General features: G+C 39.3%; 1 protein-coding gene across 4 annotated transcripts in view; it reads right to left on the bottom strand.

Moving 5' to 3' along the window:
* Positions 1-27570, bottom strand: part of DOK5 (docking protein 5) — a 175577-nt gene that overhangs the window by 129511 nt on the left and 18496 nt on the right. Inside the window, exon 2 of one of the 4 annotated variants that reach the window (NM_001294161.2) lies at positions 26505-26859. The exons of the other annotated variants lie outside the window; for them this stretch is intronic. Within the exon in view, the coding sequence (NP_001281090.1) occupies positions 26689-26859 (171 nt within the window). The 3' untranslated portion in view covers positions 26505-26688. Of the gene's footprint in view, positions 1-26504; positions 26860-27570 lie in introns of those variants that run through there. 4 annotated transcript variants of the gene reach the window in all.

Genomic DNA, 27570 nt, shown 5'->3' with positions numbered 1-27570 from the left:
AAGCACCTAGATGACAAGATCTGGGGAGCTTCCAGACTGGTGAACACACTGAGATCCTGGGAGGATGGCATCCCTCAAGAGGACACAGAAGCTCCTCACATCACACCCCATACCATATACATTTCTTTTATGCCTGTTCCTGAGTCGAATCCTTTATAATAATCCAGTAAATATAAGTAAAGTGTTTTCTTGAGTTCTGTGAGTTGTTCTAGTGAATTATGAAACCTGAGAATGGGAACCTATAAATTTCTAGTCTGCTAAACAGGTGTGGGTAGGCTGGGACCCCCTTGTGGTTGGCGTCTGAAGTAGGGACAGTCTTGTGGGATTGAGCCTTTAACCAGCGGGATCTCTACAAGCTCCAGGAGTTAGTACCAGCATTGAATTAACTTGCTGAGCACTAATTATTATTGGAGAATTGGTATGGAAAAAGAGAACAGCAAATGTGATGTCAGAAGTCATGTCATTAAAAAAAGGATACCACAGCTGGTGAAAAGTGACATGATACCAGATAACAGATGGTAAGTGCCATGAGGGAGAGAGGTGCTGCCTCGAAGGTTGCTCACAGGTCCCTCAAGCAGGCACCATTCAACCAGAAGGCCAGGTGATGTAAGGGAGCAAGCCGAGCCACAAGCAGGGAAAGATCATTCTTAGGAGAGGGTAAGTGCAAAGACCCTGGGGCAAGTGTGTCTACCATAATTAAGAAAAAGCAAGTCAGCTTACAGAGTAAAGGGAAGGGTGATAGAAGACCACATCACAGAAGGATGCAGACACACAATCATGGGAAACTTCAGAGGCCATGAAGGACTCTGTATTTTATTATACGTAAAATATAAGACATGTAGGTTTTTTTGTTGTTTTTTGTTGGTTTGTTTTGAGACAGGGTTTTGCTTTGTTGCTTAGACTGGAGTGCAGTGGCATGATCATAGCTCACTGCTGACTCAACCTCCTGGGCTCAAGCAAGTCCTCCTGCTTCAGTCTTTCCAAGTAGCTAGGACTATAAGCACACACCACCACACCCAGATAATTTTTTATTATTATTTTTAGTAGAGATGAGATCTTGCTGTGTTGCCCAGAGTGGTCTTAAACTCCTGAGCTCAAAAAATCCTCCTGCCTTCACCTCCCAAAGTGCTGGGATTATGGGTATGAGCCACCTTACCTGGCCAAGACTTGCAGAATTTTGAGCAGAGGAGTGGTATGATCTTACAGTCTCAAAAATCACCTCAATCAAAAATGGGCAGGGGTAGAAAAGGAAACAAGTTAGAAGGTGATTGCAATAGCCCAGGTGATTATATATGAAATCTTGACCTAGAGTGGAAACAACAGGGGTATCAATCACTATATCCAGATGTGTTTTGAACACAGAGCTAATGGAATTTGATAAGGGGCTTAGAATTTGCTAATAAAATGTGAGAAAAAGAGAGAACTCAAGAGTGACTTAAGGTTGATAACCTAAGCAAGTGGAAGATTGGAGATGTCGTTTACTGAGATGACAAGGACTTACGGGGAGGGTTTAGGGGGCAGGATTAGGAGTGTTCTACTGAGTTGCCTTTGGTTCAATCAACTGTGGCAAGGATGTGGAGGGGCCCAATAACATAAGCATTGCAACAAGAGTTCAAATGTTCAGTGAAGCTGCAGGTCAAGGAGCAGTGGTGGGCAGGTATGTGCACCATAGAGGTTAAAACACACTTGGATGTCGAAGACCAAAACATTAAGACAACAGGATTCTCTTTTGAGAATTTGAAATGAGGTGTTACTAAAAGCCTGGAGTCAAATTTGCCACAGATAATCTACAATTTCTAATGCATCACATCTCCTTGAAGCTTAAAGAAGTATGAATTCAAGGATAAAATAAGACAAATTGGGTATCTCATAGCATAGAGCCAAATTCACAAACATAGTTATTGAATGCATCATTCTCTTTTGAATGAATTTGTATGGCATCATATTTAAACAGCTTATTTCTCTTTCTTTACTGAATCATAAGATAATGATATTATAGACTTTAGTGATATTTGTTTAAAAATACAAGCTAGTTATTTGAAAAAAATGAATATAAGCCTTACTCAAACTTGAAACTTTGACCTAAATGATGAAACTATTTTTGCTATTCTGTAGAAATTTTAAAAATCTTGGCATTCCCTCATCTTCAGTGATATGGGCAATAGTAACTTTTGCATCCTTATAGAGGAGAATAAACCATTTCATCATTTCAGAATGGTTTTAAATTTTAAAGGCAATAATAGAATCAATAACTATTATAATTTATAAGTTAAAAAAGAAATAGATCTAATACCAATTAAATATCTAATAGTTATTTAGCATTTACTATGGAACAGATGCTAAATATTAAACATACATCATGTCCCTTTTAATCTTTATTACACCTGAATTCTTGATACAAGATAACGCAGTTTAAACTACTAGAGCACAATAAAACATTAACTGAGACACAATATATATTAAAAGTATTAAAGTTAATCAAACTTATGTTGGAGCATTAGGTGATCCTGGACATGTTAAGCAACTCCACAAGCCTCAACTTCTCATTGAAAATAGGGATTATGTAAAAGTGCTCCTATTTCTTCACATCCTCTCCAGCACCTGTTGTTTCCTGACTTTTTAATGATCGCCATTCTAACTGGTGTGAGATGGTATCTCATTGTGGTTTTGATTTGCATCTCTCTGACGGCCAGTGATGATGAGCATTTTTTCATGTGTCTTTTGGCTGCATAAATGCCTTCCTTTCAGAAGTGTCTGTTCATAACCTTCGCCCACTTGTTGATGGAGTTGTTTGTTTTTTCTTGTAAATTTGTTTGAGTTCATTGTAGATTCTGGATATTAGCCCTTCATTACATGAGTAGATTGCAAAAATTTTCTCCCATTTTGTAGGTTGCCTCTTCACTCTGATGGTAGTTTGTTGGTGGTTCTGTAAACTAGTTCAACCATTGTGGAAGTCAGTGTGGCGATTCCTCAGGGATCTAGAACTAGAAATACCATTTGACTCAGCCATCCCATTATTGGGTATATACCCAAAGGATTATAAAGCATGCTGCTATAAAGACACATGCACATGTATGTTTATTGCGGCACTATTCACAATAGCAAAGACTTGGAACCAACCCAAATGTCCAACAATGATAGACTGGATTAAGAAAATGTGGCACATATACACCATGGAATACTATGCAGCCATAAAAAAGGATGAGTTCATGTCCCTTGTAGGGACATGGATGAAGCTGGAAACCATCATTCTCAGCAAACTATCACAAGGACAAAAAACCAAACACCACATGTTCTCACTCATAGGTGGGAATTGAACAATGAGAACACATGGACACAGGAAGGGGAACATCACACACTGGGTCCTGTTGTGGGGTGGGGGGAAGGGGGAGGGATAACGTTAGGAGATATACCTAATGTTAAATGACGAGTTAATGGGTGCAGCACACCAACATGGCACATGTATATATATGTAACAAACTTGCATGTTGTGCACATGTACCCTAAAACTTAAAGTATAATAAAAAAGAAAAAAGAAAATAGGGATTATGATAGTAGCTACCAGAGGGGGCAACTGAGAATGCTATGAGGTGATGCATGTAGAGTACTCAGCACAGTACTGGCAAGAAGGAAGGGCTTAATAACTGTAAGGCTGAGTCCATTTGGGCCTCTATAACAAAACATCATAAACTGGATGGCTTATAAACAACAGAAATTTATTGCTCATCTCTGGAGGCTGAGAAGTCCAAGATCAAGGCACTGGCAAGTTCAGCATCTGGTGAGGGCCCATTTCATGGTCCATAGACAGCAATCTTTTAGCTGTGTTCTCACATGATGAAAAGATAAATGACTACCTGGGGGTCTGTTTTGTAAAAGCACTACTCCTATTTGTGATTCATGACTTCATCACCTCCCAAAGGCCCCATCTCCTAATACCAAATCCTTGGGGGTTAGGATTTCCACATTTAAATTTGGAGCGGGGGGTGCATAAATATTCCAGCCACTGCAGAGACACTATCATCACCACCAACACTATCATCATCACTTTATCATCTCCACCAGCACCTTCATCGTTATTATAAAGCCTATAAAAGAAAACATTATTATTTTATTTTACTAATAAGGAAACTAACAGAGAAATATTAAACAAATCACCCAAAGCCACCCAGCTTACAAATGGCAAAGTCAGCCTTTAAACTAAAACATATGAAACCTCAAAGACTGTATAATTCAAATTGCGTGACTCCAGCATACACAGTGGTTAGGCTACAATTTTATCCCATGTTGCCTACATCATGATGCTTTAGTTTTATTTCAAAATTTAAGCTTGTTATAAAACTTCTGTAAAATAGCATCTGATTCTTGTGAGAATCCATACCTATGCCGATTATTCAGATGAAGAAAATGAAGCTAAGCTAACCCAAATAGGTTAACCAATTGCTGATAAATCTTGGCAAGAGACAAGAAGGGGTTAGAACTCATGTATATGAAACTCAGGGGCATGACACTGCACACAGGGTGGGAAGTTATATTTGAATCAAATCAGCTCTGCTAATTCCTTAGGGATTTTGCACACAACATTATTTTCAAACTCTCAAATAAAAAAGGGAATGAAAGGATTACTATAGAACAAAAACATCAACCCGAGATATGTTGCATTTAAAAGCAATAAGCATGGCTTTCAAGGAACTCGGTAACACGAGGGACTCTGAGCCCAGGAGACAGTTTGTAGAAACAAAATTGCTTCTGAGAAAAACCTGTTTTAAATTCAGTGTTGCAGAATAAATGCATAGATATTAAAGACTTAATTGCTAGTTTAGGAGCAGGTCTACCCCCTAGACTGTAAATTCTTTGAGGGCAAGAGCTAAATTCAACTTCTATATTCTCAGGTCTAGCAAAAAGCTTGACTTTTAGTACCTATTTAGTAGTTGAGTCAATGAGTTAATGTTAATTTTTACATCGTATATTGCTAGGCTATATCTTGGGTCAGTGTAAAGCACACATCTGGGGTCAAACTGTCAGAGTTGGATTCCCATCACCATCATTTAGAGGGACCTGAATTTTGGGGAGCATGAGCACTTAGCACAGGATGTTATAAGGGGAACACACAGTTCAGATATGATAGCATACTCTACCCACAACCCAAGGAAGGCAAAATGCCCTTAAAGCTAGAGTATTTACAAAGGGTTAAATTTAAATTATTTTCTTCTCTCACTATGCCTTTCCATCTGTTGTAAAAGCCTCTTTAAGTCAGGCAGAGCTACAGAATACATATACACATACTATCTGCTAAGAGGCAATCATTTCAACAACACTGCTCAGTTTTTTTTAGACTGAATTAGAACCCCAATTTGAATAAAACAACCCCCACATCATTTTCAAATTCATATTTTTTTCTTACTGTAATTAAATATGTATCTGTAGCTGACAATGATTTCTCCCTATGCATATTTAAACATAGTTTCTCTTCCCACTATAACTGGATTATATAACCAGATACACTTCTGCCCACTTGAGGAATTATATACGGGGAAATGAGAATATGGGACCCAGATTCTGAGATGCTTGTCTATCTTTAGCCTAAGGGTACACGACACACTGCAAGTGAACATTTTACTATTATACACATTTCTCCTTTTGCTTTCCCTGTCCACTTTATGAGTCAGAAGTAACCAGAGCCAGAAAGAGATGGATCGAATCAGGGACTGCTGTCAGCTAATGCCTTCCCCAATTACTGCAGCATCACAGAATTGCATAAAAGCATACGTTGAACATTCATGCCATCACCTGGCAAAACCGGCTGATGGCCAGTAATCTTATTTATTATTAGTCTACGTTTCTGGGTAGCTAGCATCTCCCCAGGAGGTACAAAACCCATCTTTGCGTACTCTCTTTAGTTGGACTATGCCACTTTTCATTGGTAACCAATACAAAAAAATGATTTTCTTCTTGGTAAACAAATTAACTCTCTGAAATGTATTAATCAAGAGAGAACACAAGCTCAAACAAATTTGCATCTGAACTGACATTGGTAGGATGTTCCCTGTTTTAAGATCTCAAAGTAAGGATTTAGTAATGAATAGCAACAAGATGTACTGTGGTAGACAAGAAAATGTCCTCCCAGAGATATCTACGTCCTTGGCTTATAAAATCTCCATGTCCTCACAAAACTCAGCAAAGTTCAACATTGAGATAATCTACAAATTAGTTACAAACCTGGACTGACTCAGGAAAATAAATGGTGGTTTCAATTAGATTTTCATCTTGTTCATTGGTTGTTTCCCACTAGGTTATAAGAAGCAGAATTAAGAAGAGAAATAATTCAGTTATAAAATCAGTCATAACTGGCCGGGCACGGTGGCTCATGCCTGTAATCCAGCACTTTGGGAGGCCGAGGCGGGTTGGATGGCCTGAGGTCAGGAATTCAAGACCAGCCTGGCCAACATAGTGAAACCCCCGTATCTACTAAAAATAGGAAAATTTAGCTGGGTGTGGTGGCGGGCGCCTGTAATCCCAGCTACTCGGGAGGCTAAGGCAGGAGAATTGCTTGAACCTGGGAGGCGGAGATTACAGTGAGTCAAGATCGCACCATTGCACTCCAGCCTGGGCAACAAGAGTGAAATTTCACCTTAAAAAAAAAATTATAACTAATACATATCTCAGAGCCTGAAGTTAGGTCCTTAGAACAGTAAGATTATTTATTTTCTTTAAAAAAAGAAAAAGAAAGAAATGAAGGAAGGAAGAAGAGAAGAAGGGAGGGACGGAAAGAAGGATGGAAGGAGGAAGGGAGGGAGAAATGGGGGAAGGCAGGTGAGCATTTTGGTAATTCAACTCCCTGTGACATCATTCACTCAAACTATTCAGCATAAGCAAAGATTAAGTGGAAGATGATTTCCTTGAACTTGCTTCTAATTGCCTCAGACAGGGACCTACATGTTTCTTCTAACATCAGTTTTACATGACCTCAAGTCCCAAAGAGACACCATATTCCTCCTCCTTTTCTCCATGAAGCCATCTCCAATTGCTCTCCCCTGATTGCCTTTCTGTAGCCAAAAAAAAAAAAAAAAAAAAAGAGTAAAACTTCTCTCAGTAAGCTAGTAAAGCTGTAGTTACTAGGCAACCCTCAATATATATTAAAATAACTTGAAGTTCCTCAGCAAGAGGAAGGAATATTTAACAGCCCATTAAATGTTGAATTTTTAAAGCACACCTGAACCAAAGTTAGCAAGAAAAGAGATCTCCTGCCATTTCTGGAATTCTTGGAATTCCTCTTCTGTCTGAAAACTGAAGCATGACCTTGGACTCCTACAAACTCTTAACATATTTTGACAAGTGGAAAAGGCAAATTCTCACGCTTAGTACATATAGTGCTGGGAGGATGAGGGCTTTGCAGAATTATTCAGAATAATGAAAGAGGAGAAAAATGTCAAGTTGGCATCTGTCAAACCAGAAGATGTGACATCCCAGGGGAGACTCCAAAAGGAGCCCTGTATTCAGAGCCACATGTCCCTTAACTGGAGCAGTGATGGCTTAGGAGGTACCAACGACTTTGTCAAGAAATCAGAATCCAAAACCACTTCGGACTTCCCAGCTATTCCCTTGAATTGCATCCTGCAGTGCACAATGAGTACAAAAAGTAGGGTGCAGCTATTGAATCCCTTCAGAATAAGTAATCTGAATCTCAAAATTCCAGATGGGAGGTAATTCCAAGGTCACCAAAACCACACAAATTTCTCTCTGATAATCTGTCCTAATTCAAAAAAACTTTACAAAATAAAGGCCCACAGCCCCTTCCTCTGCTAAAATTTAATAATTCTCAGCACCTAGAAAACTGTTCTCGTATTTATTCATTTATTCAAAATTCTTCTCCTGAAAAATAATTGTGTTTTCTTTTTTACCCTATTCTGCAGAAGACAAAGGATAGTCAACATCAGCTGTCTAAAATCCCTTCATATATTTGAAAACTATTAATTAGCCAATGCACAGCCCACTCTTCTTCAACTTTAATAATCTCACGTTTTAAAAATCTTCCTTTGACAGTCTTATTCTCTAGTCCTTTAGTGACACACTTCTGAATTACTTTCAACATCTCCATGGTTTGTTAAGTGAATAAATGAAAGCAATAAATGACCAGTGGTGGCAAAATGGTGGCCTACAAATGGATGTTGGGTTTTTTTTTTTTTTTTTTTTTTTTTTGCTCAGAGTATTTAAAGCAAACAAGCAAACAAAACAAACCAATATTTTAAGACAAAATTTTACGTAAAAGCTGATTTCCAATTTTGTTTTTAAAAATTGGAAAAACTGGTGAAGCTGGGTCCCAGGCTGAATATAAAAAGTGACTGCTTAATTCTCACTAAAAAGCTCAATTAACTACTATGAACAATGTTTTTCTAATTAGGAATTGCATTCAGCTGAATGTAACAGAAAACTAATTACTATGTCTTATTAGCCCATAGTTCCAAGATGACTGCTCAATCTCCAGGAGCATCCCTGGGTACACTCTAGGAAGAGGCAAAAGACAAGTTGCCAACATATTCTGCCCCTTATTAAAGGGCTTCACCAGAAGCCCTATCAGATGACTGAGCATGAGCTGAGGAGCTGGGAAATGTAGTTATTTTAGCTGGGTATCACATGACCCCAAACAACCCGAGGATCTGCTGGTGTATAAGGGGGAAAAAGCCATCAGTGAGATGCCCAGCAGTGTCTACAAAACAAACCTACATCATGAGTTTGTTATGAGGAAATAAGAGTTGACGCAACATTTCTGAAACATGCTTAGGCCCCCACAAATGTTTGCTCTTGCTCCTCTCTGCTTCCTTTACTCTTTGCACCCTTCTTCCACTCCCAGCTGCCACGTGCTCTGGTGATGGGCTTCCCCAGAACCACATTACAGCAGCTATGTAGTGACTGAGGCCGAAGACTAATATACACCATTGAAATGGAGTTTATCCTTCATAGCAAATTTCTTTTTTTAACAAAAAGTGTTTTCATAAGAGTAAAGCAAAGTACAACATTTTAACATAAAAGAATACTACTAAAAATGCCAAACTTTCTTATCAAAACCCATGTTTTATCACCCTCACTGTCCCAAAGGCAAATAATTAGTGGGCCTATAATTAGGCCCACTGTAGGCTGCTGTTACCATGGATAAATAAACTGTGTATAAATGACAAAGTCAACTTCTTAAGTTGACCCCCAATATGAGAAAAAAATCACAATGCATATTTTTAACAAATTGTAACTGTCCAGGTCAGTCAATGCCTTTTGAGTTCCTGCTAATCATCATAAATGACATGATGGTCTGAGTATAAACAATGTATTGCAATATTTATGGGACCAGCAGAAAATCTAAAAGACTGCATTATGGATGGCTCTTTTCCCTTGAGAAGGATAATTCTTTATTTTTTCTTTATTCTCTGAATAGGTATATTTTGCAGAAAGAAAACTTTCAGGAAATAGGAAAAGAAAGGAAGCAGATGTCTCCACATTCATAGGTGAGTCTACTCATTATGTATTCAGTAGTCTAGTGGATTTCTACTGCTTGTGTCATGGGGCATCTGTTCTTTCACACAGGTAAACAGCACTCCACATTTCCTTGGTGAAGCCACCTCTGCTCTGTTGGTGTGTATAAGGTAGACACAGCCACAGGTTCAACAGAGAGCAAACTGAATGGCCTGACCCAATCCTCCTACCCCATCATCTAAGCCACAAGATTCATTCAATGGTGGACATGGGACCTAATTTTGGCCAATGAAGGCCAGGCTTAAAAATGCTTCTTCAAAAGTTAGGAAAAAGAAGTACATTCTCTCCCTCATTGGGAAAGAATCTGAAAGGATATGAGTTTTAAAACTGCTGCAGTCATCTTGCAACCCCAAGAAGAGACTGTATGAGAATGAAGGAAAGAAAAGCCAAGAGAGAATCAGGTCCCATCAATGTCACTGACTCCAGCAATGAGCCATTCCTCAAGTCAGGTGCATCCCTGGGCCTTTGAATCTGATAAGCCAATACCTTCCTCTTTGCTTAGTTTGGATCGAATTTTCTGCCATTTGCACCATCACCAATATAAATTGCAGCTATGAATGTTTACCTAGTGTTAGTTGACAGTGAATGAACATTAAGCCAACGGCTTTTAAATTCTCCAAGAAACTATGTATAACAAACTAGCATACTAGAAACACATTTTAAAAAATTATCAGCTATCTACCACCTTTTCTACTTTACTTTCTTTGGTTCATCTTTTGGTAAGGCCAGAGAAAATATCTGTTTTATGAGCATGAGGAAGTTAAGCAGGTGACTTCACCTTCCTAAACCTAAGTACCTATTAGCAAAGCAATGTCAATAACTTTTATTGAGCACCTACTATGTATCAGGCACTATGGTATCCTGCTTGATACAACAGCTCTATGTAGTATATCCCCATTTTAAAGATGGGTAAATGTGAGCATCCAGGAGTTAGTCCACTTGCCCAAAGTCACAAAGCTAGGAAGTGGTCAATGCAGCATTGATACCCTGGAAGTGGAAGTGTGTGACTTAAAGCACCCTCATTCTCCAAAGTGATGCTACCTAGCTCATGAAGTCAAGGTAAAGCTTAATAAAAGCACATGAAAGTGTTTAGCTCAGCATTGAGCCCGTAGAAAATAATAAATGGTAGCTATTACTGCAGTTGTGGTTGAAGCCTGGTGATGTGGGTTTGACTGTCCTCAGATGCAAATGCTACTCTGTGTTGTCCTGCTGAGCACCACGGACAGTGTTGATCAAACCAGCCCTGCGGAGCCCTCTGGCTCATTCCCATTTTAATGAGCTACTCTTTCAACTCCAGAGGCGCAGGAGTGAAATCAAGTGGACAAATTTGTAGATGGGGTGTGCTCCCAATAGCCGAGCAGGGAGAGTAATTTCAGCCCAGCAAGCACACAAGGCCAGGCAGCCTTCCAAGCCAACACAACCCAGGGCAATGTAAGGGAACTCAAGCAAGGCAGCGGGGGCTGGGCCAACTGCATTCCAGTAGAGCGGGAAGGAGAGTTGTTCTTTCCAAAACTAGGCCATGGGATCCTATGTTGAATTTATTTTAAAACCCCCCACAACATTTCTCTCAATGTTTCAATAATATTATCAGTTTTTCCAGTTAGTCATTATTATGTAAAGTAATTTTCTGAGTATACATGCCTGGCTGTGGTTTAAAGAGATTGGCAATAAAACACCTCTCTTAACAGTGACTAAAAATTTAACATAAAATGGTTTTCTTCTCTCTTTAAATCTAATAAAAAGCTAAAAACTGTACAAGTACAAAGATTAAAATCAGCTGTTTTTAAAATGTTATGCTATTTAGTGTACATATATTTTAAAATTAAGTGTCAAGTGTGACTCTTAATTACTGAGGATTTGTGGATAAACAGCCCCTTCTAGGGTGAGTTTGCTTAACCAAGGAAGGGAGAAAGGAGAACCTACAGTAAGAAAAATGAATAGCTTTGTTTATTATAGCAGCAGATTTCCCATATGAATAAAGAATGCAAACAAAAAAATGTAAGTCGGTATTTTTTTAATTCTTATTTTTAGTTCTGCGGTACATGTGCAGGATGTGCAGGTTTGTTACATAGGTAAGCGTGTGCCATGGTGGTTTGCTACACCCATCAACCCATCACCTAGGTAGTAAGCCCAGCATGTATGAGCTATTTTCCCTAATGCTCTCCCTCCCCCCATCCCCCCACCCCAGTATTTTTAAAAGCATATGTACTGCCGTCTGAAAGCCTCCAATGGACATTTCCAGATCGCAGTGTAACTGGGTGGTTTTTAGTCGACTAGCTCCCAGGCAGCATTAGTTTTCGGGACAGGTGGAGGCAGGGGTCAGTGTGAGCAGGCAAGCAGTCTGTCCTAGAATGAAATTTCTCTCTGTGATTAAAGCTTGGTCTTTACCAGCATGAGTTTTAACTTACAGAATTTAATTAGAGAAGTGGAGAGGAGAGAAAGGAGAAAATTCTACTCAATAATAAATGCTCTCATCACTATCTTGCTTGAAACCCTTTCATTTGTTCCTGCTTTGCAGATGTTAAAGATAAATAAGATGAGAAAATGAATGTAAAATGCTTACCAAAATACTAGACACCATCTCTTGCTTAAAACCCAGCAATGGCCTCCCATCATATATGAAAATATATTAAAATCTTTCCCAACTGGGCATAGTGGCTTAGATCTATAATCCCAGCATTTTGGGAGGCGGAGGTGAGAGGATTGCTTGAGGCAAGGTGTTCAAGACCAACCTGGGCCAAAAAAGCAAGACCCCTGTCTCTACAAAAAAATTGTAAAATTAACCAGGTGCAGTGGTGCACGACTGTAGTCCCATCTACTGGGGAGGCTGAGATGGGAAAATCGCTGGAGCCCAGCAGTTTAAGGCTACAGTGAGCCATGACTGCACTACTGTACCCTTGCTGGGTGACAGCACAAGACTCCAGCTCAAAACATAAAAATTAAAATTAAAATTAAAAATTAGGCCGGGTGCGGTGGCTCACACCTGTAATCCCAGCACTTTGGGAGGCCAAGGCAAGTGGATCACTTGAGGTCGGGAGTTCAAGACCGGCCTGGCCAACATGGCAAAACCCTGTCTCTACCAAAATACAAAAACTAGCTGGGTGGGGTGGCGTGTGCCTGTAATCCCAGCTACTTGGGAGGCTGAAACAGGAGAATCGCATGAACCAGGGAGACGGAGGTTGCAGTGAGCCGAGATCGTGTCACTGCACTTAAGCCTGGGTGAGACAGCGAGACTCTGTCTAAAAAAATAAATAAATAGCTGGGCACAGTGGCTCACACCTGTAATCCCAACACTCTGGGAGGCCAAGGGGTGCAGATCACCTGAGGTCAGGAGTTCAAGACCAGCCTGGCCAACATGGAGAAACCCCGTCTCTACTAAAAATACAAAATCAGCCAGGTGTGATGGCACATGCCTGTAATCCCAGCTACTTGGGAGGCTGAGACAGGAGAATCACTTGAACCCAGTAGGCACTGGTTGCAGTGAGCCAAGATCGCGCCATTGCACTCCAGCCTGGGCAACAAAGAGCGAAACTCTGTGTCAAAATAAATAAATAAATAAATATAAAAATTAAAACATTCCCAAAGCCTGCAAGCTCCTCATGAGGTAGCCCCTGCACAGTTCTCAACACTCCCTCACCATCACCTTACCCACTTCCTTATTTCCACCCTCCAGATATAAGCTCCTGCCATCTCGTATGTGTGACAAGCATCATTATATCCCCAGCCCTTTGCCTGTGCAATTCTGTCTGCCTGGAACAGTCATTTCCAAAGTAAAATGCAGTGGGATAAAAGAAAAAAATAATGAAACTTTTATTTATGTGTGGTGGGGAGGTGGGATAAATAAGAAAAATTGTAGTAAAATAATAACACTGCAATACATGGTTTGATAGCAGTGCACATGTATAGGAAATAAACACCTATACAAATACTGGGAGTTCTACTTTTAATTGCATGCATTGTATAATCAGAAAAGTTTGAAGTCTATGGGTCTAAAACACCCCCTGACTCTGAAAACCCCGTCTAAACCCAACTTTGGCATGGGTAAGTCCTCTTTAGGACACATTTCCTCCAAGCCATCTTCGAGCTTCTAAAGCTAGACTGGATGTATTTCTCATGGCTTTGTGCTTACATGCTTGCTGTTAACATTCTACTCTCTGCATAGCAGTCAGTGATAGCTTAATCATATCACTTCCCTTCTTAAATCCTCCACGGGTTCTCAATACACTTAGAATGCATCCACTCTCCTCATCATGAACTCTTTAAACTCCTACCAGAACTGGCCCCAAATAATTCTCCATTGTGATATGACTATCCTTTTTCTTCTCTAGGGTGTGGCCCCAGTGGCTTTGTTGATCTGCTTTTAATTATCATAAGAAGCCCATTCCTGCCCTAGGTTCTTTGCCTAGTTCTATCTTGTACCCATGAGGGCTTCCTTCAAATTTCTCATGGCTGGGTCCTTCCTGTCATAAGATCTCATCTTCCCCTGACCATTCAGTCTAAAGCAGACACCTCATCATTCAACACCTGCACTGTGCAATGTGACAACCACCATCAGCAACATGTAGCTTTCAAGCACTTGAAATGTGGCTAGGCTGAAAAGAATTGTGCCACAGGGCGTAAAATACCGGATTTTTGATGCCTTAGTAGAAAAGATAATGTAGAATGTTTGATTAATAATTTTTATATTTTTATGGGTTAAGATGATAATGTCTTGGATATATTTGATTAAATAAAATATAGCATTAAAGTTAATTTCACCTATTTCACTTTATTTTTTAATGTGGCTTCTAGGAAATGTTAAATTGTACATGTGGCTCACATGTGGCCTCTAATTATGTCTCCATTGGACAGTGCTGCTGTAGAACATATATATTTTTATTTTCTATGTAGTTATTACCTCGACCTATCATTTTCATTTATTTATCCCCACTCAGTCCCCCTTGATCTCCTTAAAGGCAGGGTGTTCTTGTTCATACTGTATCCCAAGTACTTTCCAAACTCCTGTAACGTGGTAATAAGTACTCAAAAAATATTTGTGAAACAAATGACTGATTTTATAGAATCCTTTATGTTATACTAACAGCTGGTGTTTACTGAGCACTTAGATGCATTATCCAAATAAAGTTGATGTTCCTATTTTATAGATGAGGACAAGGATATAGATAGATTAAATAAACTGTAAATGGCTAACTTCAAAGAAATCATGTTTAGGACCCAGGCAGAGTCTGTGATTCCCCGAAAGCTGCACTGCTTCAGAGCAGTGACCTCGCGTATGATCGCCAGGTGTTTCTCTATCTCCCCATGAAGACAGAAACCAGAACTCAGTCATTGTTTCTACAGTGCTGCCACATAGCAGGTATTCAAAAATATTTATCAAGCCAGGAGCAGTGGCTGATACCTCTAATCCCAGCACTTTGAGAGGCCAAGGAGGGAGGATCACTTGAGCCCAGGAGTTCAAGACCAGCCTGGGCAACCGGAGAGACTCCGCCTCTACAAGAAGTTTGTAAAAATTAGCCAGGCGTGGTGGCACCTACCTGTAGTCCCAGCTACCTGGGAGGCTGACGTGGGAGATCGCTAGAACCCAGGAGGTGGAGGCTGCGGTGAGCCATGATAGTGCCACTGAACTCCAGCCTGGGTGACAGAGAAAGACCCTGTCTCAATAAAATACATTAAAATAAAATTTAAAGAAATAAAATGGCATGTATTGAGTAAGCCTTCAGTAATAATGCCAATCATGGTACAGCCAACATGTATTGAAAATTTACTACATGGCAGACATTGTTCTAAACAATCCCACCCCGATGTCTAAGGGGCAGCTCAAAATTAACATCTTTGATTCTGACTCTTAACCTTGACCCCAAAACTTGCCCTATCTCTGTTTCTTCCACATTGCAGTTAATGGTAATCCCATTCCTGCAGTTGACCAAGTCAAAGTATCAAAGTCTTCCTGACTTCTCTCTTTCTTTCCTGATGCACTCCAAATCTGTCAGGGAATTCTCAACTCTCTGTTTTTATAATATAGGCAGAGCTGGGCTGCTTCTCACCACCTCTACAGCTCTAACCCCAGTTCAAGCTGCCACTCATGGCCGCCATCTGCAGCCAGAGTGATGTTTTTAAAATGCAATCCAAAGCACACTATCCCCAGCTCACAAGCCAGTAGTGCCTTCCTTCCCATGAAGAACAAAATGCAACATCCTGTCTGTGGCCAAGGAAGTCCCAGCTCACTGAAAGCATCTTCAGGTCTCTCCTCTCCACCACCCAGCGGGCTTTGAGTACACTGGCCTCCCTGTTGGTCTCTGAACACTCAGACACACACTCTCACCTCAAGGCTCTTGTCCTTTTATGCTGGCTGTTCCTTCTGCCTGGAACCCTCTTCTTCATGTGTCCACATGGCTCTGATGTCATGTTACTCTTTCAGTGAAGGTTCCCTAATGACCCTAATTAAAATTGCATCTCCCACCCCCTATACTCTCTCTTTCTCTCTCTTTCTCTTTATTTCCTGCATTTCCCCCTCCATACCACTAAATCACTTTACATATATTTTACATTTTGGGGGTTTTCTTTTTGCTTTATTATCTGTTTCCCTCCTTGAACTGTAAGCTCCATGAGGGCAGGGACTTTTGTCTGTGTTTCTTCACTCTTATAGGCTCAATACCTCAATATAGCAGCCCATAAACATTTGGGAATTGAATTTATAGGTATTCACTTGTTTAATCCAGGGGTCAGCTAACTTTTTCAGTAAATACCTTAGGCTTTGTGAGCCACAGGGTCTCTGCCACAACTGCTCAACTTGCTGCTGCGAGGTGTGCAAACAGCCACAGATTACATGTAAACTAATGGGTATGGCTGTGTTCCCGTGAAAGTTTATTTGCAAAAACAAGCAGGAGAGAGGGGCATTTTGGCCTTTGGATCATAATTTACCAACCCCTGATTTAATCCTCACAACTACCCAGTGATTTGGAGCCTATAATATCCCTACATTGCAGGGACTTGAAGTGACTTCCCCAAGGTCAAACCACTGGTAAACTGCAGAACCAATTCAAACCTGAGCAGTGGGGTGTGGGATGAGGCACAGATTCAAGGATGGAGGGGATCCAGGAGACACCACTTGGGGAATGCCACCGGGACAGATATGAATAGAAGCATCTCAGTGAGAAGCCAGCCCCTGGTGCTTCCATCCACAGTTAGTAGGTCTGCCAGAAACTCAAAGTCATGAGGTCTCTTTAGCTACACAAAATTCTCCAATGGGTACTGAGATGGCCAAAACACCTTTCACAGATATGAGCCAAACTATGCTTTTTTCTCACCTACCACCTCAAAAGCCAACAAGCCTTTGATGCACACAACATTTGTCTTTGATGTGTGCCCATGACAGGTCTTCAAAGAGCTCTGTCTACAGATAAATAAAATCACTCTTTTCCCTTCTGTCTACCATATGATCATCTAGTTCATCATTTCATTCGTTTAAGAAGCAGAAATGCAGATAAGGCCAAGGATAGCATGACACCATCTCCAATCACCCCTGTATCCTCCTTCAACTGAGAGAGAAGAAGAAACTGTATTGGGAGAGGCAACAAATGGCACAGAACCTCACGTTGAGAAAGATACTCATTTTTCATGTCAGTCCTTCTGAGTGAGTCAAGGAGAAGTTCCATTCAGTGGGTAACAATAATTTTAAACCCCCCCTAAAACTTCCAGATCTTGCTTTTCAACAAGAGAAAGCCTCAGGCTCAGTGCCTTCATTGAACAATGTGTCTAATATTGCTTCATTTTCATTGTATTTATTTTTAGTTATCTTTTGCAGTGGATTTGTATTATATCAGCTCAGTTAAACTAGAACTATTTTTCAAAGAATTGCTTTCCTTGCACAGGTCAGAATTAGGGTGGACCGCGAGATCTAGAAGGTGGACAAAGGTAGCCTTATTGTAGGATGTGGGAAGGTTAGGGTAGCCATATTGAGGGTAGCCAGATCTGGAAGGTGGACAAAGTTAGCCATATTGTAGGATGTGGGAAGGTGAAGGTGAGCTTCCCCGCTGGAAGCTCAGGGCAGTGCACACTACTCTCACTCATGCGCACTGTCTCTGATGTGCTGGTTCACCAGGGTGGCATGGACAACAGCTGGGCTGCAACTACTTTAACTGCTTCCAGATCCTCCTTCAGCTCCTCAGAAACCTCGGCCAAGCACCTGCTTAGCTCTTCTCCTTACAAGATGACCCCATCTTTGAAGTTGGTGGATTGGGGGCTTTGAAAATCAGATGCTTCTAGCCCATCTTCATAGGCTGCAGTTTGTCTTCAATCACCTCATTTTATGTCCATCTTCACTTCTGATGTCAGGTTTCAGCACTAGGAGCACCTAGACCCTGCAAACCAGGTTCCTACAAGTGCAAAAGAAATAATCCCCAAAATCCCCAAACCAAACCTCTAATTAAATATCTTCCTGTGGTTCTTCTTCTCTGAAGGAGCTCCAATTTATGCAGCTTCTACTCATGGAAAATAATATTGGCTTTTTGTTAATGGCACTGCTATAAAAATCCAAAAAAAAGAAAAATAAATTATTTTAGTGAAGTAGTAAGTGAATAACAGTGAAAACTATTCACACATATGACAAAGACTGTGAAGAGGATGAATAAATGACATTTGGGAAACACTTCATTACTTTTCCATTTTTTTAAAAAAAATCAAGAATAAAAGCAACAAAACTATGAATTAGATCCAACCAATGAACACGTTCCAAGGCCAGGTCCACTTTGTGACTTCCTGCATTCCACCTGATTATACTACTTTTCCAATACCCCAGTCTATAAAATTATTTTTTAAAAAAATCCATGTGTACTCATATATTGAAAATGGCAGAATAATAAAGAAATATACTTTGATTTTTAATTTTATAGTTAATATTAATTTTTTGAAAAAGTAATACATTCACATGGATCAAAATTCAAAATTATTTCAGAGGTATATATTAATTAGCCTGCTTTCCACCTCTATTTCCTACCCCTGCACCAGACCCAGTCACTGACTTACAACTAAATGCATTATTTCCTTGTGCAAACACAAGCACATATATACAAATACAAATATACAGTCTTACCCCCACTTCTTACACAAAACATAGTATTCTGTGCATACTGTAGATCAATATTTCCAGATTATAACTTGAAGAATATTTTTCAATAGCCATAGAAACTTGCTCCACTTTAATTTGCAATTCTAGTTATTAAGGAAAAAAATCTAAGTGAAAGCAACTTATGTAAAGATATGCATTGTAGTACTATTTATAATAATGATAAAATATAATCAACAAGAATTCAAAATTAATAGAATATCTAACACAATGAAATACCATGCTGACAGGAATAAAAAAGAAATGTGGCCAATCTTTAAGTAATAATTAAAAGAGCTTTTTGAAATTTATTAAGTGACACAAGGTAGTTAGAGAATAATGGATAGCGCATATATACTATTTTTGTGGGGAAAAAATGCGGTGTACACACACATGACATATATACAAATATACCTATATATGTATATGCTGATATATGCTTGAAATATGGCTGAAAGAGAAGAAACTATAAAATTGATTGCCCTCTTGAGGAGAATTGGTGGCTCTGGGTAGACGGGTGAGAGAATCTTTCCTGTATACCCTTTTGAACTTTTAATTCTTGAATTTCGAGCCATGTGAATGACTGTAAAATTTTTAATAGTGTTGCTATAGTAATCCTAAAATGACTCATTAAATGAGTGCATAGCAGAGCAACGATACTAACCATTCATCTATTTTCTGGTTTACTCTGATTCACCAGTTATCTCCTGGTACAAAGAATTACCTTATACATAGAAGATACTCAATGAAAAGTCGTTGAATAGATGAATGAATGTGTGGTCTACATGGATCCACAAATGAATGTAAATGCATTAAATATACCAAACTACAAGAATGACTAGGTCACTGGTATAATGGTTATTAAATTGGTCTCAATTATTATTGTAGTTTCTGATAGGCCATATACATACCACAAATAGCCAGAGATGCACGTTCTGTCAGTACAGAACTGACTCAAATGAGCACGCTCTCTCTTTATTAACCTTCCCAGTATTGCAGTGGAGGTAGACAACTTTATCAATGGCATATAATTGATAAAGAGCATAAGCCACAAAACCAAATTCAATGCTTTCCATTGTTAGCAAGCATAGCAAGTAAATTACATTCAGAGTATTAACCGAGGAAATAAAATTTGCTCAAAAGTCAGAAACCAATATTAAGTGTCTTCTTTCTAGTTTCAGAACAAATGAACTAAAAATGTTCATTGAAATCATTTGGTGGCATTTATTAATGTGCTGAACACAGCACAGCTCACCATTGCTAAGTCATATTTAAGTTTTCTTTGGTTACAATGAAATACCTAAATGAGTTAAAGAATTTACAGAGACTCTAAATTATGGAAGTCACAAAACACTGTATGTATCTTCATGCTAAGGGTCGAAATATACACATTGGACTCTACATATGACTTTGTTTTATTACTTAGTTTGGGATTCTGAGCCACATCCTATAACCAGTGCATGGATGACTGCAAAACAAATAGAACATCAGCTACCTCTGTGGCCCACTGCCAGATTTATTTTTTCTTTTTCCTTTTCTTCTTTTTTTTTTTTTTTTTTTTTTTTTTGAGAGTGAGTCTCGCTCTGTCACCCAGGCTAGAGTGCAGTGCCGCAATCTCGGCTCACTGCAAGCTCCGCCTCCCGGGTTCATGCCATTCTCCTGCCTCAACCTCCTGAGTAGCTGGGTCTACAGGCGCCCACCACCACGCCCAGCTAATTTTTTGTATTTTTAGTAGAGATGGGGTTTCATCGTGTTAGCCAGGATAGTCTCGATCTCCTGACCTCCTGATCCACCCGCCTTGGCCTCCCAAAGTGCTGGGATTACAGGCGTGAGCCACCGCGCCCAGCCCCACTGCCAGATTTCTAGCCTTAAAAACTGGCTGTAATGTAAATCGTAGCCCATAGGGAAGTTAATTTGTAATATGTATTAAGAGCCATAAAAATATTCAAACTCTCTAACTTCATTATCACATCCATTCCAAGGAAACAATCTAAAACATGGTCAAAGTTACAAGCCTGAGTGTCACTTTTAGTTAAAAACAACTTAAATGTTTTTACTATCAAGTAAACTACGTACCTAGTCATCATAGACTTCAAACTCACAGTTTTAAAGTTAAAATGATGATTTGGGGAAGTATTTACAACATAACAAAATACATTTAAAAATATACACGGCCGGGTGCGGTTGGCTCACGCCTGTAATCCCAGCACTTTGGGAGGCTGAGACAGGCGAATCACCTGAGGTTGGGAGTTCGAGACCAGCCTGACCAACATGGAGAAACCCCATTACTACTAAAAATACAAAATTAGCCGGGCATGGTGGCACATGCCCGTAATCCCAGCTACTCAGGAGGCTGAGGCAGGAGAATCGCTTGAATCCGGGAGGTAGAGGTTGTGGTGAGCCGAGATCGTGCCACTATACTCCAGCCCGGGCAACAAGAGTGAAACTCCATCTCAAAAAAAAAAAAAAAAAAAAATACACTGGGTATGACATTGTAAATATGTGATCCTTGTAACCATGTGAAACTTTCAATGTTTAGGAGAAAAAAATAGGAAGAAATATACCAAAATGATAATTTTGTATTGGGGCAGTAGGTTCATATTAGGTTATTAAAAGGAAAATATTATAAAATTCAGCAAAACAATGACAATAAAAAGAAGAAAAATGTTTATTGACATCTATGTGGCCTTCCCTATTTTTTTCGTGTCCAGTGTTCAAATTTAGTTTATTATATTGGTGATGATCTTGGTTATTAAGATTCTTCTAAAGATTCTAACTATGGAATTTAGCTTTAGTCTTTTTTCCTAAAGAAATAAACCCACAAAGAGTGCTCAAACCCCTGCTGCATCTTCTTCCTTTGTTTTTTCAAGTCAGTTGTATGGCATTCACTTTAGTTTCCTTAAAATCCACTTTTTAACTTTTTCATTTAGCAACTTCTTGAAGTTTCTCCTCATTTGCAGAGGATCAGGTAAATAAAGCAGTTTGAGAACATATCTAAAAGAGACAATCTTCAAGTGGTAACCTGGGGTATTCACCTAGCCCTGTTACTAATATTAAAATTACAAGGATTGGCTACAGGACTATGCATCAATATAGCAGAGATTAAGCAGAGAAGGCATGGATCTGAGCCCCTCGCTCCTCCTGTTCCGAGGTGAGCAATCTTCAGTGAATTGTGCATCCCTCCAAGCCCAAACTTCTTTACCTGTAAAATGAGTTCAGTGACAACACGTCAGAATAGACTGAGATTCCATTGAATCCCAGATTTAACCATTATGCTGTATTGCTACTTGGTCAAGTAATGTGATTAACCATAAACGGTGGATGTGAGCATCTTGTTTGTGTAAATGTGATTGATTAATCTGTGTCTTAACCTTACTAATGTACACAGAGATGTTTTTAAATTGGCCATAGAGACAACATAAGTGAAACACAGAGCCTCCCACTCAGTAATAATTCCACTATTATTGGCTGCATAGCAGTACAATAACTGCCATATTAGCAGAACATTCACAGACGCAGTCTTTGTGGGTGATGCCTGATTCACCCACACTTCCTCATCCATCCAGCATTCTGATGAGACTTCTAGGTCTGTCTGTATCAGGGTAGGTATAGGTAACAGAACTAGCATGGACACCGGTACCACAAATACAAATTCAAACTCTATCCAATCCTTTACCCTGTCTGTAACTCTGGACAACTTCCAAATTCTTGGAGCCTGAGTTTCCTGAAAACTTAAATGAAGTTAATAACACATGCCTTAAAGGATTAGTGAAAAGAGAATTAAAAAGGATGAATACAGAAAATCTAGCATGGCATGTAAGAATCCTCCTCTCTCTCCCAAGGGAGTAACAGCAATGTTTAAACCTTATCCCAAGAGTTAAATTAAGAATTAATTAAACATTCCCAAGTTCAAATTCTAGGTTCATCTCTCTTGACCATGTGGCCTAGGACAAGCTTTGACAGTGCTCTGATCCCCAACTTCTTCATCCATGAAATTGGGGTCACCGGTAGTAACTGTTTACCCTGTACAAGCATATAGTGCTGTACAGAACCAGCTATTAGTCAGTGTCCCATTATTATTAATTTCAAACTCAGAATGCTGATGCATATAGCTCATATCTGTCAATATTTCCATATTTCTATATTTGCATTACAAGTGACTGCCCTTAAATGACAGTTAGATGGCTTTATTCTTCCACAGGGGAGAAAAAAAGTCTTTTTTGGCTAAAGAGTGAAAATCTGCAAAAATACTAGCTTGTGAATAAAATAAGCTCAATAGAACATGATTTTCTCCTTCCCCACTTTCTATTATTGTCCTAAACAAAACATACTCTTTATACAGTTCACCAGGATCGTGGCCCTTAAATATTGAATGTAATTTTGCTACGTAACAGCAAACACCAACACTTGCAGTGTGACAAAAATTAAAAGTAAACAAATTATCAAGGTACATTTTATTTCCAAATCAGCTTGATTTACTCTGAAAACATGACCCAACTTCCTCTTCCCAATTGCTCAATCTGACCACAGTCTCTCACTGACCCAAGCTGCAATTCTTAAATATATGAGCAGATTAATCCAAATCCCATCTTTCTCTCCTTTGACAAACTAGAATTGCTATTGTTCCCTTGGTAAACATAGTAGGATATGAAATAAGACAATTTAATCCTCTAATTTATGACAATGGGAGAGATGTTGCTGAAAACCCTGAGCTATCAGTGCTTTTAATTAAAACAACATTAGTAATGGTCACTAAAGGAAAATATATTCCATTGTAAATGTCAAGATTTACACTGTCTCTGACAATGACACAATAATTATGCTAAGGTGCAGAAAGTAACACCGCCTCACTAATTCTCCTGCAACACAAAATATACAGTGAAAGTGACAAATGGATTAATTTACATATGGATGAACATGATCTGTTGCTCTCCAAGGTCCCAAAAGATACATAAGAGAAAAATTTAGTGATGTTACTGGATGATGTCTTTTAAGACAACACAATACAATATCTGAGTATGTACCCTTACGACATAGAGAAGGGATTTTCAAAATATTTTAACTTAAATAGATTCACTAAAAGAAATCACCTTCCAACCACTGTTCCTTGTCTCTGGTCAATTAGGGTCATAATATTGTTTTCATTGTATTACAAAAGGTAAGAATGTACACTGTATAAATGAATAAATAATATAGATTACTAGATAAGCAGATAAATAAATACAAAAGCACAAAAATACAAAAGCAAATGACCACTCAACTCACTTCCACCCACTTCAAGGAAAACACAGTTCCTTTATCATAGTTACTATTAGAAGTCTTTCCTTTCTTCATTTTCCTACAAGCATGCAGAAATATATATGTGGACACATTTGTGCCAGAATTCCTTTTTTTCTGACACTCACTTTTTTCCTCCTACTCCACAATATGTCAGGACAATTTTCTACAAGATATAGCAAATGGAGTAACATAGAATAGAGCAAAACATGAAAACCTCAAACTCATTAGTGGATGATGTTTTTAATCTTATAATAGATTATGCCACCTTTTAACCTTCCACTCCTCCATTTAGAAGATGTTACCTATGCTTATGTTACACAAGTTTACACTTCAATTACAAGAGTTCAGAACTAGATATTCCAAAAGTAAAGTAGCTGCATGTTGTTCAAATGTAAGACTGTTTAAATTGGCATTTTAAATGGATGACAATTTTAGCCTGCATAATGCATGAAGCAGTGTCTCTACATTCGGGTTTGTAATATTCATTCATTGATTCATTAAGGACCCATTATGTTCCAGGGCTCAGGAATCCAGGTGAACAACCAGCCATGGTCCGCAACTTCAGAATCTGCTTTTCAAAGTAGCTAATGGGTTATGAAAAGGCTCTACAGCAACTATTTTATTTAATGTTCAAGACATCCCTGTGATTCAGGAGCCATAATTATTGATATTGTTTAACTGAGGAAACAGAAATTAGGAGAGGTTAAGTAACGTGTCCAGAATCACAATGTAGCCATGGTATAGAAAGATCTGTCTGTCCACCGCCTCCCACAGAGGTTTATGCTCTGAGCCACCAGGTTATATGTTTTACAGCTTAAAAATGTGGTTACTAAGAGGCCAGAATCTTAGAGAAATCATGAAATCTCACTTGCCCTCAGTTTCCCCATCTGTAAAGTACAGAATTGGAGAAGTTAATATCGAATCTCTCTGTACTCTAAATGTCGATTTATGCTGGTTCATTTTTTTCTTTTTTTTTTTTTTTTTTTTTGAGACGGAGTCTTGCTCTGTCGCCCAGCCTGGAGTGCAGTGGTGCGATCTCGGCTCACTGCAAGCTCCACCTCCCGTGTTCATGCCATTCTCCTGCCTCAGCCTCCCAAGTAGCTGGGACTACAGGCGCCTGCCACCACGCCCAGCTAATTTTTGTATTTTTAGTAGAGACGGGGTTTCACCGTGTTGGCCAGGATGGTCTCGATCTCCTGACCTCCTGATCCACCCGCCTTGGCCTCCCAAAGTGCTGGGATTACAGGCATGAGCCACCGTGCTCAGCTCTTTTTTTCTTCTCAAGGATTTCAAAACTTGAACTGATGTTATTCATCCAATATGCTCTCCCTTAAATTTAATATGATCTTCACTTGCATGCCTCTCTAGATCAGAGAATAGTAGGAAACATTTTTAATAACCCTTATATTCTTCCTGTTAGTCTTTCTCCAGCTAATATGCCAGTGCCTTTCTCAGCCTACACCTTTGTAAGATAAAAGGAGAAACTGGTATTTCTAACTTTGTATTCATGACACCTATTTAAAATCAAGATCGAATTCCCTAGAATGCATGACCTTAACTTGCAGAAAGTTGACCCATTCTTGAGTTAATATTAGAGCAATTAGTCTAACAAAAGGTCTTTTCTTCATCTTTATAATATTCAACTTCATCTGTGTCTGAAAACTAAGCTTCAAAATTTAATGCCAATAAAACGTCCAATCTCCTTCACACACGCTTGATCCTGTGCCTGTCTCTCTAAAATGAATTTAACTTCAGAAATTTACTTCTGTATGATAAAGAACTTTTGCAGTCCTATGTGTAAAATTGTCAGTCTCACTTAGAGGTACCCCAGAAGCCTGGGAAATGTACTTCTTTCTAATTTTTTTTTTCTTTGAGATGGCGTCTCACTCTGTTGCCCAGGCTGAAATGCAATGGCATGATCTCGGCTCACTGCAACCTCCGACTCCCGGGTTCAAGCCATTCTTCCACCTCAGCCTCCCAAGTAGCTGGAATTACAGGCACCCACCATCATACCCGGCTAATTATTGTAGAGATGGGGTTTCACTACGTTGGCCAGGCTGGTCTTGAACTCCTGACCTCAGGTGATCAGCCCACCTTGGCCTCCCAAAGTGCTGGGATTACAGGCGTGAGCCACTGCGCCCAGCCACTTCTTTCTAAATCTTTAATCAATCTCAAAATATCTGCTTGTGAGCGTAACTTCTATAATTCCATCTATTATACAAATATTCCCCAGAAATGTATAGCTGCCCAATGAAATTGACAGTTATGAGAAAAAATTAAAATAAAATTTTCTCCCCTCAGTCAGTAGGCTACTTGATGGCCAAATACCCTGTTCAGGATTAAAGTGGAATCAATCCCACAGACAAAAGCATCTCTCTTCCCTCTGGCTACAACGAGCTATAACCAGCATTCCCTTTTTATGGTGATATAAACAGGTACTCAGGAAGAGCTGCTATTAGGCCATTGAAGCAAGAAAAGCTAAAGTAACATTTCTTTAAGGCACAGAAATCTTGCCTACTGTTTGGAGCTTCTTCCTCCCAGAGAAAAACACAGTTGGTACTAACCCTTTACCCAGTGCAAATTCAATGTAATGAACCAGTTAAGGTATTTTCTTTTTTATTTTTTTTTCAGTGTATGAATCTACTGAGGAGATTGGGGCATTTTAACAACATAGTAAATAAAATATGATCTACCAAATTTCCATTTTACGAAAATCAAATTAAAGAGCCATTTTAGTTTTGAGAACATTGAGTAAAATAAAGGGAGAACCATGGGCCAAAAAATCAAGCCAGATTCTTGAAAAAGGTCTTAAATCCCTCTTTAGAAGGTTGGTCTAGAGTTGCAGATTTGCAGTTACATATCAGGTTGCTGGAGACTGGGTTTTCCAGGAACAGGTTCCAAGAAGGAGATCTGCATGCAGGGTGTTCACTGCGGAGGGCTCTCAGGATCAGCACCTTGGAGGGAGTCAAGGGCGGGCACAGGTCAGCTGTGATGTACTCTCAGCAAGGGCTTCAAAGAGTTTTTTCAGTGTATGAATCTACTGAGGAGAGTGGGGCATTTTAACAACATAATAAATAAAATATGATCTATCAAATTTCCATTTTATGAAAATTAAACTAACGAGCTATTTTAGTTTTGAGAACATTGGGTAAAATCAAGGGAGAACCATGGGCCAAGCTACCTTGCCTAAAGGTGCCAGCCACCACACCCAACTAAGTACCAGCTCAGCTGCAAGCTGTCACTGAGTCACACTCCAAGCAGCTGGTAGAAGGAATGCTTCAGTCATTAAGACAGGGATGGAGATCTGGGAAGCAAACTATTAAAACCATGCTCACCACACAGGTCTAGCTCAATCATAGTCAATCTTCCCACAGTTAAGCAATGGATTCTGAAATGTCAAACCCAATAGGAAAGGCTAAATATCCCCAGATGAATGAGTCTTGCTAAGGTATCCAACTGCAGTTTTGAAGGAAATCGGTAAAAGTGTAGAACATCCAGCTCCTTCCCAGAAGGTCCACTGAACATTAAGAGTACAACAATAAAGCGAAGAGCTGAGAGGAATTCTTTAATTCATTCACTCATCATTCATTCAACAGATAGTTATTGAACATTTAATATAAGGGAAAAAGCAAGAAGTGAGACAAGCTGTGCCCTTGTGAAGCTCA

Source organism: Homo sapiens, chromosome 20, assembly GCF_000001405.40.
Source record: "Homo sapiens chromosome 20, GRCh38.p14 Primary Assembly".
Taxonomy (NCBI): domain Eukaryota; kingdom Metazoa; phylum Chordata; class Mammalia; order Primates; family Hominidae; genus Homo; species Homo sapiens.
This window is presented reverse-complemented; position numbering and strand designations above follow the sequence as displayed.